General features: G+C 44.5%; 1 long non-coding RNA gene across 1 annotated transcript in view, besides 4 other annotated features; it reads right to left on the reverse strand.

The window, feature by feature from the left end:
- The window catches only part of LOC107986891 (uncharacterized), a 45,183-nt gene that overhangs the window by 9,012 nt on the left and 23,372 nt on the right, over window positions 1-12,799 (reverse strand). The gene's annotated exons all lie outside the window — the stretch shown is intronic.
- Window positions 4,392-4,893: an enhancer, noted in NCBI's record as "H3K4me1 hESC enhancer chr8:74085815-74086316 (GRCh37/hg19 assembly coordinates)". NCBI's record gives its function as "activates a minimal SCP1, AML or CMV promoter by ChIP-STARR-seq in primed H9 embryonic stem cells {active_cell/tissue: H9 hESC(primed)}" and the evidence as "EXISTENCE:reporter gene assay evidence [ECO:0000049][PMID:30033119]".
- Window positions 4,894-5,393: an enhancer, noted in NCBI's record as "H3K4me1 hESC enhancer chr8:74086317-74086816 (GRCh37/hg19 assembly coordinates)". NCBI's record gives its function as "activates a minimal SCP1, AML or CMV promoter by ChIP-STARR-seq in primed H9 embryonic stem cells {active_cell/tissue: H9 hESC(primed)}" and the evidence as "EXISTENCE:reporter gene assay evidence [ECO:0000049][PMID:30033119]".
- Window positions 4,894-5,440: a biological region, named in NCBI's record as "Sharpr-MPRA regulatory region 10056".
- Window positions 5,146-5,440: an enhancer, noted in NCBI's record as "tiled region #10056; HepG2 Activating DNase matched - State 4:PromP, and K562 Activating DNase unmatched - State 12:CtcfO". NCBI's record gives its function as "activates a minimal TATA promoter and a strong SV40 promoter by Sharpr-MPRA in HepG2 and K562 cells {active_cell/tissue: HepG2 | K562}" and the evidence as "EXISTENCE:reporter gene assay evidence [ECO:0000049][PMID:27701403]".

Here is a 12,799-nt window from a genome sequence, read left to right on the forward strand (position 1 = left end):
GCCATCCCCTCCCTGGCCACCGTCTGCACATCGTATGCATGAACCCACTCCTCAATACCTTCTCAGTAGTTTGGTTGCACCAAGCAGTGAGTGTGGAGCAGAGCAGCAGCTACCCTTTGCCAGGGGCTTCCCTGAAGACCAGTGAAGCCATCCACACAAATGTAACCAAGAATTTCTCCTTGCAAAGGAGCAAAGTGTGTCACCAGGGTATAGGAGGCCACACTGGGATGTAAGGAGAACACTCTGTCTGTCTCCTGGTCCCGAGATCAAGCGGGCCACAGGAGAAGTGGAACCCACAGGGAGGAGCTTTGTGAGAGATACCACTCTGTAAAGATGTTGAATGAGTGCTGGCAGTTATTAACCCTGGAACTGGGGATCAAACAGATATACAGGGAATCACTGGGTGGAAGCCTGGGAAGGATGGGTCAGAACAGTGTGGCAGAGTTTGAGAAGTTATAAAGAAAGCTTAGGGATGCAGCAGGAATCCAGTTTTCAAGGCTGGGGCAGCCAGTCAAGGAGGCAAGTACCCAACAGTAACTGGATCCTCAGCCCCCGAAAACAGAGCTGAATCTGTTTAAGTCCTTACTGATTCAGGACATGAGCAGACTAGGAAGGCAGGTGGGTCTGGGTTTGCAGATGGCAAGTGGGATAAAAGATATCAAGGCAGGTAACATGCTAGACTTGACATTATTTCAGCAAACAAGGCCATAAATAGTCCCAGGAGGCCACTAGTGACCTGAGTAGACTTTTCAAGAACAGAAGCCTTCCACCACCCCTCCCCATCTTCCATCCCATCAGTGGAAAAACGTTGATTCATTCACACTTATCTTTTACATGTGTTCTTACATAGCCATCAGGTCCAAGGCCACGGGTGAATAGAAACACACCAAGAGGTTCTAGAGAAGTTTACAGGCCTTGGTATGATAACATTCTGGAGTGATTTATCCCTAAAAGTTCATGGTGGTCATTCAGTGCTATGTTGCTCCACTACCCTTTTAAGGGATCTGGAATCTGGAACTGGGCTCAGCCTTCATTATAATTGCTGGTTCTATTATTTGTGTCCCATACTAGATTGCAAGCTCCCCAAGGGCAGGAGGCAGATCGGTCTACTTCTATAGATCAATTTCTGATACAGTGCTAGCACAGAGTTAGCACTCAAGAAATATTTGATGAATGAATGAACGAATGAATGACTAATGGTGGCAGACAGAACAGCTATGCTCAAGCATCGCCTTCCTCCTTCCTCATATCACATCCCTGCCTCCAACAACTATGGGGTTGTCTGTGAGACTTGCTTTGGCCAGTAGGATACGGGGGGCCATGACGCAGGCTCGCCTGAGCAGCAACCTGAAGTGAATGCATGTGCCGTGGCTCCGCCTCTTGCACTGCTGCTCTCTGCCATGGCTGCATGCTGCTCCTGCAGCCTTTGTTCCAGAACAAGAAGATTCGAGAAGATGTGAAAAGGAGACCCAGAATTGGCCCACAGCCTGGAACAGAGCTGTAGTCCATCTGCTGCTCTTGAGTGTTGTGATGGAGACATGAGGATTTGCTCTTGGGAAACAGATTTGGGAGTTATTTGTCACCACAGTAAAAGCTCTGACCTTGGAGGAACAAGGCCTCTTCTATTCAATTTCACCCACGTGCTGGCACAGTGCCTTCAATTCCTTTGTTTTGCCAAAGCCAAAAGCAGATGGCAAAACTTGTACCACCTAGAAAGCAGCCTTTTTGCTGTCTTCTCCCAAAGAACACCCAGAGAGCTTCCTCCACCCCCGAGAAACCTAATGGTTAACTGTCAAGGGTGCTTAAAGTGAAAAGTGGTCTGACGGCAAGTTTACATATCATATTTTAAACATTTACACAGTTTTAAAATAAATGCAAGCTTGAGGCCCTCCCTTTCTTCACCTGCCAGCAAAACATGTTCTCTCCAGTTCTGCAAAAAGCCAGAGCGTTACTTGGGCACTGGAGGTAGAGTTTTATGTAGAATCTGCCAACAATCTGGTTGAAATCTCAAGGCTTTTCCCTCCACACCAGTCTTTGATTTACCTTGGGAAGAACATTGAGTATAAAAGGTGCATGGGACTTTGGGCACAAGAAAAAACAGAACAAAAGAATCCTGGAAACACTGGATCTTTTGCTCAGTTCTACTGTTACTCACTGAAGTTTTCTATATGATATTAACTTCTGATGAAAAGGGGGAAAATGCAGTCAGATCTATGAGATACCAAACAGCCAAATATTTGGAAACAACTCAATGGTTCACATTTTCATCAGAGTCCATAATGACGTCCACCCTCACAGTCTCTGTCTACACTAATATTCTGACAATTCCAAATTCTACACTTCCAACCTTGGCTTTTCTCCTGATAGCTGCTTGATTGTTCACAACACTTCAGACTTCCCATTTGAAATGCAACGTTGGGCCGAGCACAGTGGCTCACACATGTAATCCCAGCACTTTGGGAGGCTGAGGCACGAGGATCACTTGAGCCCAGGAGTTCAAAACCAGCCTGGGAACATGGTGAAACCTTGCCTCTACAAAGAATAAAATTACCTGGGCATCTTGGTACATGCCTGTTGTCCTACCTAGCTACTCAGCAGGCTGAGGTGGGAGGATTGCTTGAGCCCAGGAGTTCAAGGCTGCAGTGAGCCATGATTGCACCACTGCACTTCAGACTGGGTGACAGCGTGAGACCCTATCACAAAAAAAAAAAAAAAAAAAAAGACCACACACACACAAACAACTTTGGCCATCCCTTTGAACACTGCATCTTTTCCATCATGACCTTTATTGATTAAGGGAGCACCTTCCACCCAGTCGTCCAAGCCAAAGAGCCAAAGACGGGGCGTCCTATTGGATGCTTTCTTCTCCCTTGGTCCCTATGTTTATCTGGTGGTTATCGAGTCTTGTGCTGCTATCCCAAACCCTTTGTGGGATAAAACTGGCTCTAAAATAGTATTGTATGTACATATACATATTTGCATGAATTATTATGTATGTGTATACTATATATATATATATATGTATGAATATAAAGGCTCTATTTATAGTATCTTTGAAATTTTCCTAACACTCTTCTTCTCCATCCCACTCAGCATCCCCTACCCTAATTGTCTTAGTTCATCTGGATGATCACAAAACCTCCTAACTGGACCCTGTGTCCATTCTAGCCATGGCCCCCCAACCCATAGTCCATCCTTCAGACCAGAGTCCTCTTCTTAAACACAAACCTAATGACTTAATCTCTTCTCAGGAAGCCTGCTGTGGCTCTCTGTCAGCTACAGAAGAAAGCTCAAAACATGGAGACATTTGTGCCTGGTCTTTGGGAATTTTTGAGATTCATCTTCTGCAGGTCTTCCAGCCAAAGCACAACAGCCATTCCAAACTCCAACCATTTTCACACCCTGTTCTTTCCCCCTGTGTTTACCCGTGGGGGTCCCAGCTCATCCTTCATGATTCAACTCAAGGACCCCATCTGTTGTGGAGGCTGATCCCTAGCAGAGTGAGGCAGCCCCTCTCTGAACTGTTTAAAGTACTGGGACAGCCCCAACAGCACGGCTTTTGATGACGTGTTGAGGTGTTTGCCTCCTCTATCAAACTGTGCATGGTGTAAAGTGGCAAATCTGCCCTTGCTGTCTTCATCCTCAGGGCCACTCACATTGTGTACGTCCTGGGCCACTCACATTGTGCATGTCCTGGGCCACTCACATTGTGTATGTCCTGTAGACTTCATTAAAGAAATGGAAGATATGGCCGGATGCAGTGGCTCACGCCTATAATCCCAACACTTTGGAAGGCCAAGGCAGGTGGACCACTTGAGGCCAGGAATTCGAGACCAGCCTGGCCAACGTGGGTAAAGCCCATCTCTATTAAAAACACAAAAAATTAGCCGGACATGGTGGCACATGCCTGTAATCCCAGCTACTCGGGAGGCTGAGGCAGCAGAATCGCTTGAACCCAGGAGGCAGAGGTTGCAGTGAGCTGAGATCACATCACTGAACCCCAGCCTGGGCGACAGAATGAGACTCTGCCTCAAAAAATAAAAATAAAATAAAATACACAAAAAAGAAATGGAAGCTGGAAGAATGAATATTGGAGTAAGTTATCTAGCCACAGCCTGTGTATCCTTAAGTGGACAAATGACTTAGCACATTTATTTTCCTATCTGTAAATAAAAATCAGAATGAGAATCCACCAGGCAGATTTTTGTAAATGTTCTTTTAAACAGATGGACAAAAATATGATATTCCTCTGACATTATTTCTGTAGGGATGATGACATTTGCTGTATAATTAGAACATGAGGATTCTGGTTAACACTGACATATCTCAGTGACGTCCCGATGCTGTAATATTAAAGCGGGGGGATGTTAGGGATGAAGAAGTCTAGAAGCGAAGCTCTTTCCTTAGTAATAAGAAAGCTGAAAGGCTTCTTTTTCACCCATGCAGAGCTCCCAGACTTCTATTTTAGTACAGTCATTAAGAGCTTGGACTTTGGAGTCAAACTCCCTTGGTTTGAGTCTCACCTGTAGCACTAACTAGCCCTGTGACTTTGGGCAAGTAACTTAACTTCTCTATACCTGGATCTTACTATCTGTAAATTAGTATATTAATAGCACCTCCCTCAGAGGTTATTATAAGGGTTAAATGAGTTAATGCAGATAAGGCATGGGAAGACAGCACCAGGCAAAACGTAAATGCTGTTTAAGCCATGTTATTTTCCGCCAAATACTAGGATACATTTTCTAAGTATCAGAGATGATTAGATCCACTTTAAGTGGCATTGCTGGCCGGGCGCGGTGGCTCCCGCCTGTAATCCCAGCACTTTGGGATGCCGAGGCGGGTGGATCACCTGAGGTCAGGAATTCGAGACCATCCTGGGCAACTGGGCAAAACCCCGTCTCTAACGAAAATACAAAAAAAAAAAATTAGCCTGGCGTGGTGGCAGGCGCCTGTAAGCCCAGCTACACGGGAGGATGAGTCATGAGAATCGCTTGAACCTGGGAGGCGGAGGCTGCAGTGAGCTGAGATCGCACCACTGCACTCCAGCCTGTGGACAGAGCGAGACTCCGTCAAAAAAAAAAAAAAAAAAAAAGGCATTGCTCCTGCATAATCAAGGGCTATTTTTGCATTTCTTTGGCTTCTTGCCATTAATTATTGTCCACGGCGTTTTACAAAATCCACACAATTTTTACGGCATGTATATGGAGACTTAGAGAAATAGAGCCAGCAGCGGAGAGAGCTTCGGTGAGTTCATCCTCGGCTCCCTGCTTTCCCAGACGTCCCCCTGGTGTGGGCCTGTGTCACTGCGCCATCTAGTGGACACAGCGCGCAGCTGCCGTTGGAGGCACTCAGACAAGCCAGAGGAAAGGGTTTAAAGCCCTGACTGTCCTGATCCGTCCGGCCAGTTCCCGGATGATCTCATAACACCATCCTCTTGATGTGCATCATCAGCACTAATCGTCTGGGACACCGGGAATCCCTCTTGTAAGCCGACAGCTCTACTGATGAGTTCAGCCTCTTCATCCTCTGGCAAAACCGTCTTGGCAAAGCCAGACAGAGAAGAAAGGAATGAAAACTGACATGACCGTATTTATAGGAGCAAGAAAGAAGCTAGCCAACATTCACCTATATTTTAATCAGCATACAACAAAAAAACCGGCAAGCAGGATGGCCAACGCTGAGCAACTTTTTGACCTCCATTTCTGGCTTCGATGCATTTTGGCACAGGGAAGCCTGGGGCTGACAAGGGCTGAGCCGACTGAGGGCTGAATCTCGCTTTATTGAAGTGTTTTTAGAGAAGGCCAACTGCTCTTTGTAGATGATTAAAAGCTTATCCCCCAAGGCTAGTGAGCACCCTCCTGCCAGTAAGTCAGCTCTGGCGTGCAGGGCATGGGGTATTGAACACCATAATGGGGAGAGAGTATCCACATAAAAACCCAATCAAAGACGAAGGTTGCTTTTGAGGGGCAATTGGAGACCAATAATCCACCTTGTCTTTATTTTCTATTTAAGGTTTCTGGCCACAGTAACCAGGCAGACCAATATTAAACTTGAAATTCAGTGAGTTTTGAATCAACAACTGAAATCACTTGCTTGGGCCCCAGTTCAACGCATGCTGGCAACAGACATATTAACCAAGGAGATAGGAATGGGTGAATTCTGCTGTGTCCTGTCCGGGTTCTGTAGATGATCCCTGTATCTCACTGTCCTTGGAAAATTCCTTATTAGTAGTAGAAAAAATAAAGTCTCCGGGACACTATTTATCTCACACCACTTACTTTTTGATGAAAAACCAATTCCAAATCAAGAAGACGATTTAAGCGGGAAAGGTCTAAAATGATTTCAAAATAAAAGTTTTAAAAAAATAGAGTATGGAGTGAGAGCTATAGTACAGGCATGTCTAGACATGTAGGTGGATTCTTATGTCTTTCTCTTTTTGCTACTTTTCAAACCATAGAGTTTAACCCTTGTTCTTTTTAAAGGCCGATTAGAGAAAATAAACTGAATCAAGGCAGCACTTCACGAAACCCCTAAAGGACAAGCAGATATGGAGCAGTCTCGTTTAAACCGCAGAGGTCTGCAAGAAGGAGGAAAATCTTGCCCTGTCTCTTTGGTGACTAGTGTCCCTAGCCAGGCATCTCAGTTTAGGTCCTCTGCTGGTTGACCCTATGTGGACACAGGTCCTGCTGAGCCTGGGGCCAAGAGAGCAGGATTTCAAGCTGTCCCTTCTCTCAATAAACTATGCAGGTCTCAAAGAGGTTAAGGTTACTTAGCTAGTCAGTGGCAGAACTGAGACTCAAAATTCTAAGCTCATGTTCTTAACTTCATTGTATTGCTTCTACAAAAGGAACATATTTAGGGGAAAATTCACTCATTCAAAAAAATTTTGAGTTCTAACAAAATGTGACAATACCATGGTGAATAAAATATAGCTCTTGCCCCTAGTGAGTTTGCCATCCAATAAAGAATATAAACAAGTTCAGCAATAGAGACAGAGCAGTGTGGTGAGTGCTATGGGCGGTGGGTCCATATGCCAAGGGCACGTGACAGGAGGCATCCGAGTCAGCTCTGGAGGGCCAAGGAAGGTTTATTAAAAACTTGACACTGGGGCCGGGTTTGGTAGCTCATGCCTATAATCCCAGCACTTTGGGAGGCCTAGGTGGGAGGATCACTTGAGCCCAGGAGTTCAAGACCACCCTGGGCAACATAGTGAGACCCTATCCCTACAGAATACATTTTTTAAATAAGCTGGGTGTGGTGATGCACACCTGTAGTTCCAGCTACATGGGAGGCTGAGGTGGGAGGATTGCTTGAGCCTAAAATGTTGAGGTTGCAGTGAGCTATGATCATGCCACTGCCCTCCAGCCTGGGTGACAGAGCAAGACCCTCTCTCAAAAACAAACAAAAAAACAACGACACCGAGTTCCAAAGAATGAATTAGAGACTGGGCGTGGTGGCTCACATCTGTATCCCCAGCACTTCGGGAGGTCAAGGCAGGTGGATCACCTGAGGTCAGGAGTTCCAGATCAGCCTGGCCAATATGGCAAAACCTGTCTCTACTAAAAATACAAAAATTAGCTGGGTGTGGTGGTGCGTGCCTGTAATCCCAGCTACTCGAGTCGCTGAGGCACAAGAATTGCTTGAACCTGAGAGGTGAAGGTTGCAGTGAGCCAAGATCACACCAGTGCTCTCCTGCAAGATTCTGTTTCAAAAAAAAAAGAGTGAATTGGAGTGAATCAGAAGACAGAGGGGAAAATAATCTAGAAAGGCCTCCAAACATGGAAGGATATGATAAATTTGGGGGACTCCAAGAAGTTGAACATGGTTAGAACATAGGGTGCCTATACACAAATAGTGTGCACATGTGCATAGGTGCGTTAGGTGTGCGCTGCATTGGTGAGGGAGGAGTGTGAGTAGAAGAGAAGGAGATGAAACCCATGAAACAGGCAGAAGCCAGATCAGAAGGGTCTTGAATGTCGTGCTAAGAAGTTAAGCTTTTAGCTTGAAGGCAATGGACCTTTTATGGCCAGTGAGTATGCTTCTCCTCCTTATAACCAAAGAAGGGTAACGAACACACACTGGTATCTAGGGAGCCAGGCCAGGTTGAGATTTGTTGATGCAAACTCATGCTTGTCAGCAGTTCACTGGCTGTTATTTAACCTCCCACCATGCAGTTTCCTAGTCCTGTCTTGGGGAAGAGAGTTATAAGGTGCTTAAGTCTTCATCCTGGGATAACAAATCTATGAAAAGTATCCCAGAAACACCCTGAACAGGGTCTAGGAAACTTGCAGCCCATTACAAGAGCCTCGGAGACTATTTGTAGGTGCAGGGAAACACTGGGCTTCTACTCCACTGGCTTCCGCAGAGCCTAAGAAAAGCCAAGCACACAGGTTTGAGGGATTGCAGGTGTGAGACACCACACCCAGCCTCTAATTCACTCTTTGGAGCTCAAACCTGTTTCAGGGCCACAGGGCCACAGGACCAGGCCTACCATATTTCAGGTTGATTGCATGTGCCTCACTGAGCACGTGCTGGGTGGTCGGCTGCTCTAGACAGCTGTGGAGGATACAGAGAAAGCAAAGGAATGTTCTTAAGGAGCTTGGGGTCTCTGTGGAAATGATGTAGACTCAGGAAACAGTACCCAAATCTGCGGCACAAATATTTATTTTTGTTGCACTTATTTTACACTTTTTTGCCAGGCACTGCTCCAGGCATTTTTAGACATTGTCACTTTCCCTACAGGGCTGGTATTGAAGCATTTTACGATTGGGTACAAGATTCAGAGAAGTTCATTTTTTCAGGACAGAAAACCTATAGGACATTGGGAGATTCCATCTCTACATATAATTTAAAAATTAGCTGAGCGTGATGGTGCACACCTGCGTTCCCAGCTATTCTGGAGGCTGAGGTGGGAGGATAGCATGAGCCCAAAAGTTTGAGGCTGCAGTGAGCTGTGATGACACCACTGCACTCCAGCCTGAGTGACAGAATGAGACCCTGTCTAAAAAAAGAAAAAGGAAAGAAAGAAATCCAATAGGGAGCCATGGCATGTTCCCAGGAGAAGAGTAATATAACAATGGTACTTTGGAAAGATTAACTGGATAATGATATTCAGGATATTCTGAAAGTGGAAGAAACTATACATTTTATACTCATCTATGCAGAACACAAGGCAGGAGTGTTGCTGTGGAATAAGAAGAGCCTTATAGAGTGAGACGTACGATTACCAAGGAGCCAGAGAAAAGCTCCTATAAGAGCTGACCCAGTGCAAGTCCAGAGGATGTTCACTGATGACGAATTGTAAATACACATTCACACACACATATGCCCTATTAAAAGTCCCACATCCTCTATCAGATCAGAAAAAAATTAAAAGAAAATATGCAAAGTTAGCAAATCTTAATCTGAACTAGTTTAGGTGTTGATAACGTAGGAGTGGCCAACCTGCCATGTGAGACAGTTGTAACTGTCTGCCCAGCCCAGCCCCACTCTACCCCTGTCCACAGCCTCTGCTGAGACATGGGCTTAAGTGGCCACATCCTACCTGCCTCCGTCTCCAACATATACCTTTTAGACAAGGAACAGATGTCTGACTCACTGGCCAGAAACTAGTCAACTCTCTCTTGAGACTCTGAAGTTCAATATGGAGACTGTAATCAGAAATAGGGTGTCCCTGGCTCTGTGCAGTGCCCCACTCCAGTTCCCACGTGGCTTGCACTTTGTATCTTGTGTTCAAGCAATTACCTGTCATACACTTATGGGTAATGGCCCTTTCCTTGACCTAGCTTGAATGGAAGTCTGTTCTTCACAACCCAGTGCTTCGCGGCTAAGCGAGCTAGGCTAGTTGATGCGCTCTGGGCCAGGAGCTGCAAAATGGCAGCCTGCAGGATGGATCACAGATGTGTTTGCTTTGACCCACATGGGGTTGCTATTGTTGTTTTAATTTGAATGGTGCTGCCTTTTAGACAGCATATTCCTTTCAGCTCACTTCTGTCCCTCTACCGTCTATCACATTACCATAATGCCTGCACCTCCTCATCATTTGGCATGACCTGCTTCACTCCTGTAATTACTTGAGCTTGAAATCTTTAATCTAGACCCAGGTAGGGGTGTGTGTGTGTGTGTGTGTGTATGTGTGTGTGTTTGTGTGTGTGTGTGTGTGGCAAACTATTCATATTGATGAGAAAACCAACAACAGTAATAGTAAAACAGCAAAAATACTGTCTTGGACCAGAGTTCCCTTTTATCTTTTCTGTTGTTCAAAAGGAAACACATTTTGTGAGCAAAAACCTTTGGAAACAAGGGAAAATACAGTGTGTAATCAAATAAAGGTACAGTCACGTTTCCCTGACATACTGCTTGGGGGCCATTATACAACTCAGTGAACAGGTACAATGGCTGCATTATTTGAGATGCTTTTGGTTGCCAGTGGCAGAAATCCAACTCAAATAAGGTTTTAAAAGGCAGGGAGTTGAAATCTATTCAGTATCAAAGGAAGAGCTTCTGTAGAAACAAGACTTCAGGAGACAGAGAATCCAGCTCCATCACACCTCTCCCTTTCTGTTTCTTATCTCTGCCGGTCTCTTATTCTCTCGATATATTTTTCATTGTATTTCAATAGTTTTTTGGGGTACAGGTGGTTTTTGGTTATATGAATGAGTTCTTTAGTGGAGATTTCTAAGATTTTAGTGCAACCATCACCTGAGCAGTGTACACTGTACCCAATATATAGTCTTTCATTCCTCACCCCCCTCCCAACCTTCCCCTCACTGAGCCCCCAAAGTCCATTGTATCATTCTTATGCCTTTGTGTCCTCATAACTTAGCTCCCACTTGTAAGTGAGAACATGCAATATTTGGTTTTCCATTCCTGAGTTACTTCACTTAGAATAATGGCCTCCAGTTCCATCCAAATTGCTGCAAAAGACATTATTTCATTCCTTTTTATGGCTGAGTAGTATTTCCATGGTATATATGTACCATATTTTCGTCACTTGTTGGTTGATGGGCACTTAGGTTGGTTCCATATCTTTGCAATTGCAAATTGTGCTGCTATAAACATGTGTGTGCATGTGTCTTTTTCATGTAATAACTTCTTTTCCTCTGGGTAGATTCCCAGTAGTGGAATTGCTGGGCCGAATAGTAGATCTACTTTTAGTTCTTTGCCTGTATATATTCTTGGTTTTATTCTGCACATTGCTAGCTTGCTCTCTCTCTCTCTCTCTCTCTCTCTCTCTCTCACACACACACACAGAGAGAGAGAGAGAGAGAGAGAGAGAGAAAGAAAGTGATTGCTGGCATCCCCAGATCTACACCATCCAAATTCAGCAAGCTTCTTGAAAAGACAGCGTCTCTTTCCTACCATCCTGGAAACGTGACTGATTCCCACAGGAGGATTTTTATTGGCCACAGCTGGGTCGAGCTCCAGGGAAATGGGATTCTCTGATTTGCTGACCCAGGCCATGAATCCATGCCTTTATGACCAGGCATGGGAGTCCACTTCCAAAAGAAGGGAAACAGGAGAAAACTTGCTAGAAAACCAAAAACAATAACTATACAACCCACTCAAATTGATTTTAAAAATTTTTAATTAAATGCCTTTATTTAATGTTACTTTACTCAATGAAAGCAAGCATTTACACACTCAAATGGTAGGTATTTGGTTAAGCAGCTCTTGAGGTCCCTCTAAAGAACCCTGAATCTATCAAGCAAGAAAATGTTCCCACTTTTCTGGCAAGGGTTTATAGGGTTTCTGAGTATTTACAGAAAACAAAACCTTTCTTCCCTCCCCTTTCTCTACAGTCTATGTTCCAAACCACAAAGAGAAAGGAATCATTCATCCCTGTGCATGGGTTAATTAAGCAGAAAACTTTTTCCAAGGGTAGGAAGCTTGGTATTAGATAGAAAGAAAAAAAGAATGAGAAATGCTTTTGGAGTTTCTGGAGAAGAGAAGGAGAAATCATATGGTGGTGGGAGGTGAAAAGATGTCAATGGCAACGCCATCTATTTCTAAATTTTCCCTGAACAGGAGACCAAATGCTTAGGGGTTCTCTGAGTCTATCTGTTGGGACAAGCTGAGAGAGACCAGTTAACTTCAACAATACTCACTTTTGCAGAGTGGAATCCAGGGCAAGTAGGCAAAGATGCACCTATAGCCAGTACTTAGAAGGTGACAAGGAAGGTGATCCTTGAAAGCAGAAATCCGATTGCCCTGCAGGAGCAGATGGTGGTTGGAAGATAAACCCGCAATGTCTGTGATTAGCCAGCTGAGAAAGCTCAGAAAATGTCTGCCTAAAGATGGGCTCAGATATGGCTTAGGAATATCTAAGGGGATTTGTCCACCCAGAGAGAAAGAGGAACTTAAATTACTTGTATTGCAACCCATCTGAAGATAGAATATGACCACAGTGTAAGGGAAGAAAAATAATTTTTTCTCTACCTTTCTGAGTTTGTAGCTCGGATGGACCCCTGTAGCAAAAGACAGATTAACAAGAGAAAAACAAACAAATTTATTAGCATGTATATTTCATATATACATAGGAGATCCCAGGAAATGAGAAATTCTCAAAGTATCTTAGAACTCTGGTTTTATATGGCATTTTTAACAAAGAAGAGCAAATTGTTAGAGAAGTAACCAAAGGAAAAGTACTGTGAGTCTCTAGGGTTAGCAAATTGAGGGAAGGCGAGGAAATGGGAATTTGTCATGTGGATTCTTCGGTGCCATCTCCAGGATGAGAAGGATCTAAAGTTGCCTTCAGTGAACAACCTTTGTTCTTTCTGGTAGAGAGGTAACGATGGAC

This window comes from Homo sapiens, chromosome 8, assembly GCF_000001405.40.
Source record: "Homo sapiens chromosome 8, GRCh38.p14 Primary Assembly".
Classification (NCBI taxonomy): Eukaryota; Metazoa; Chordata; class Mammalia; order Primates; family Hominidae; genus Homo; species Homo sapiens.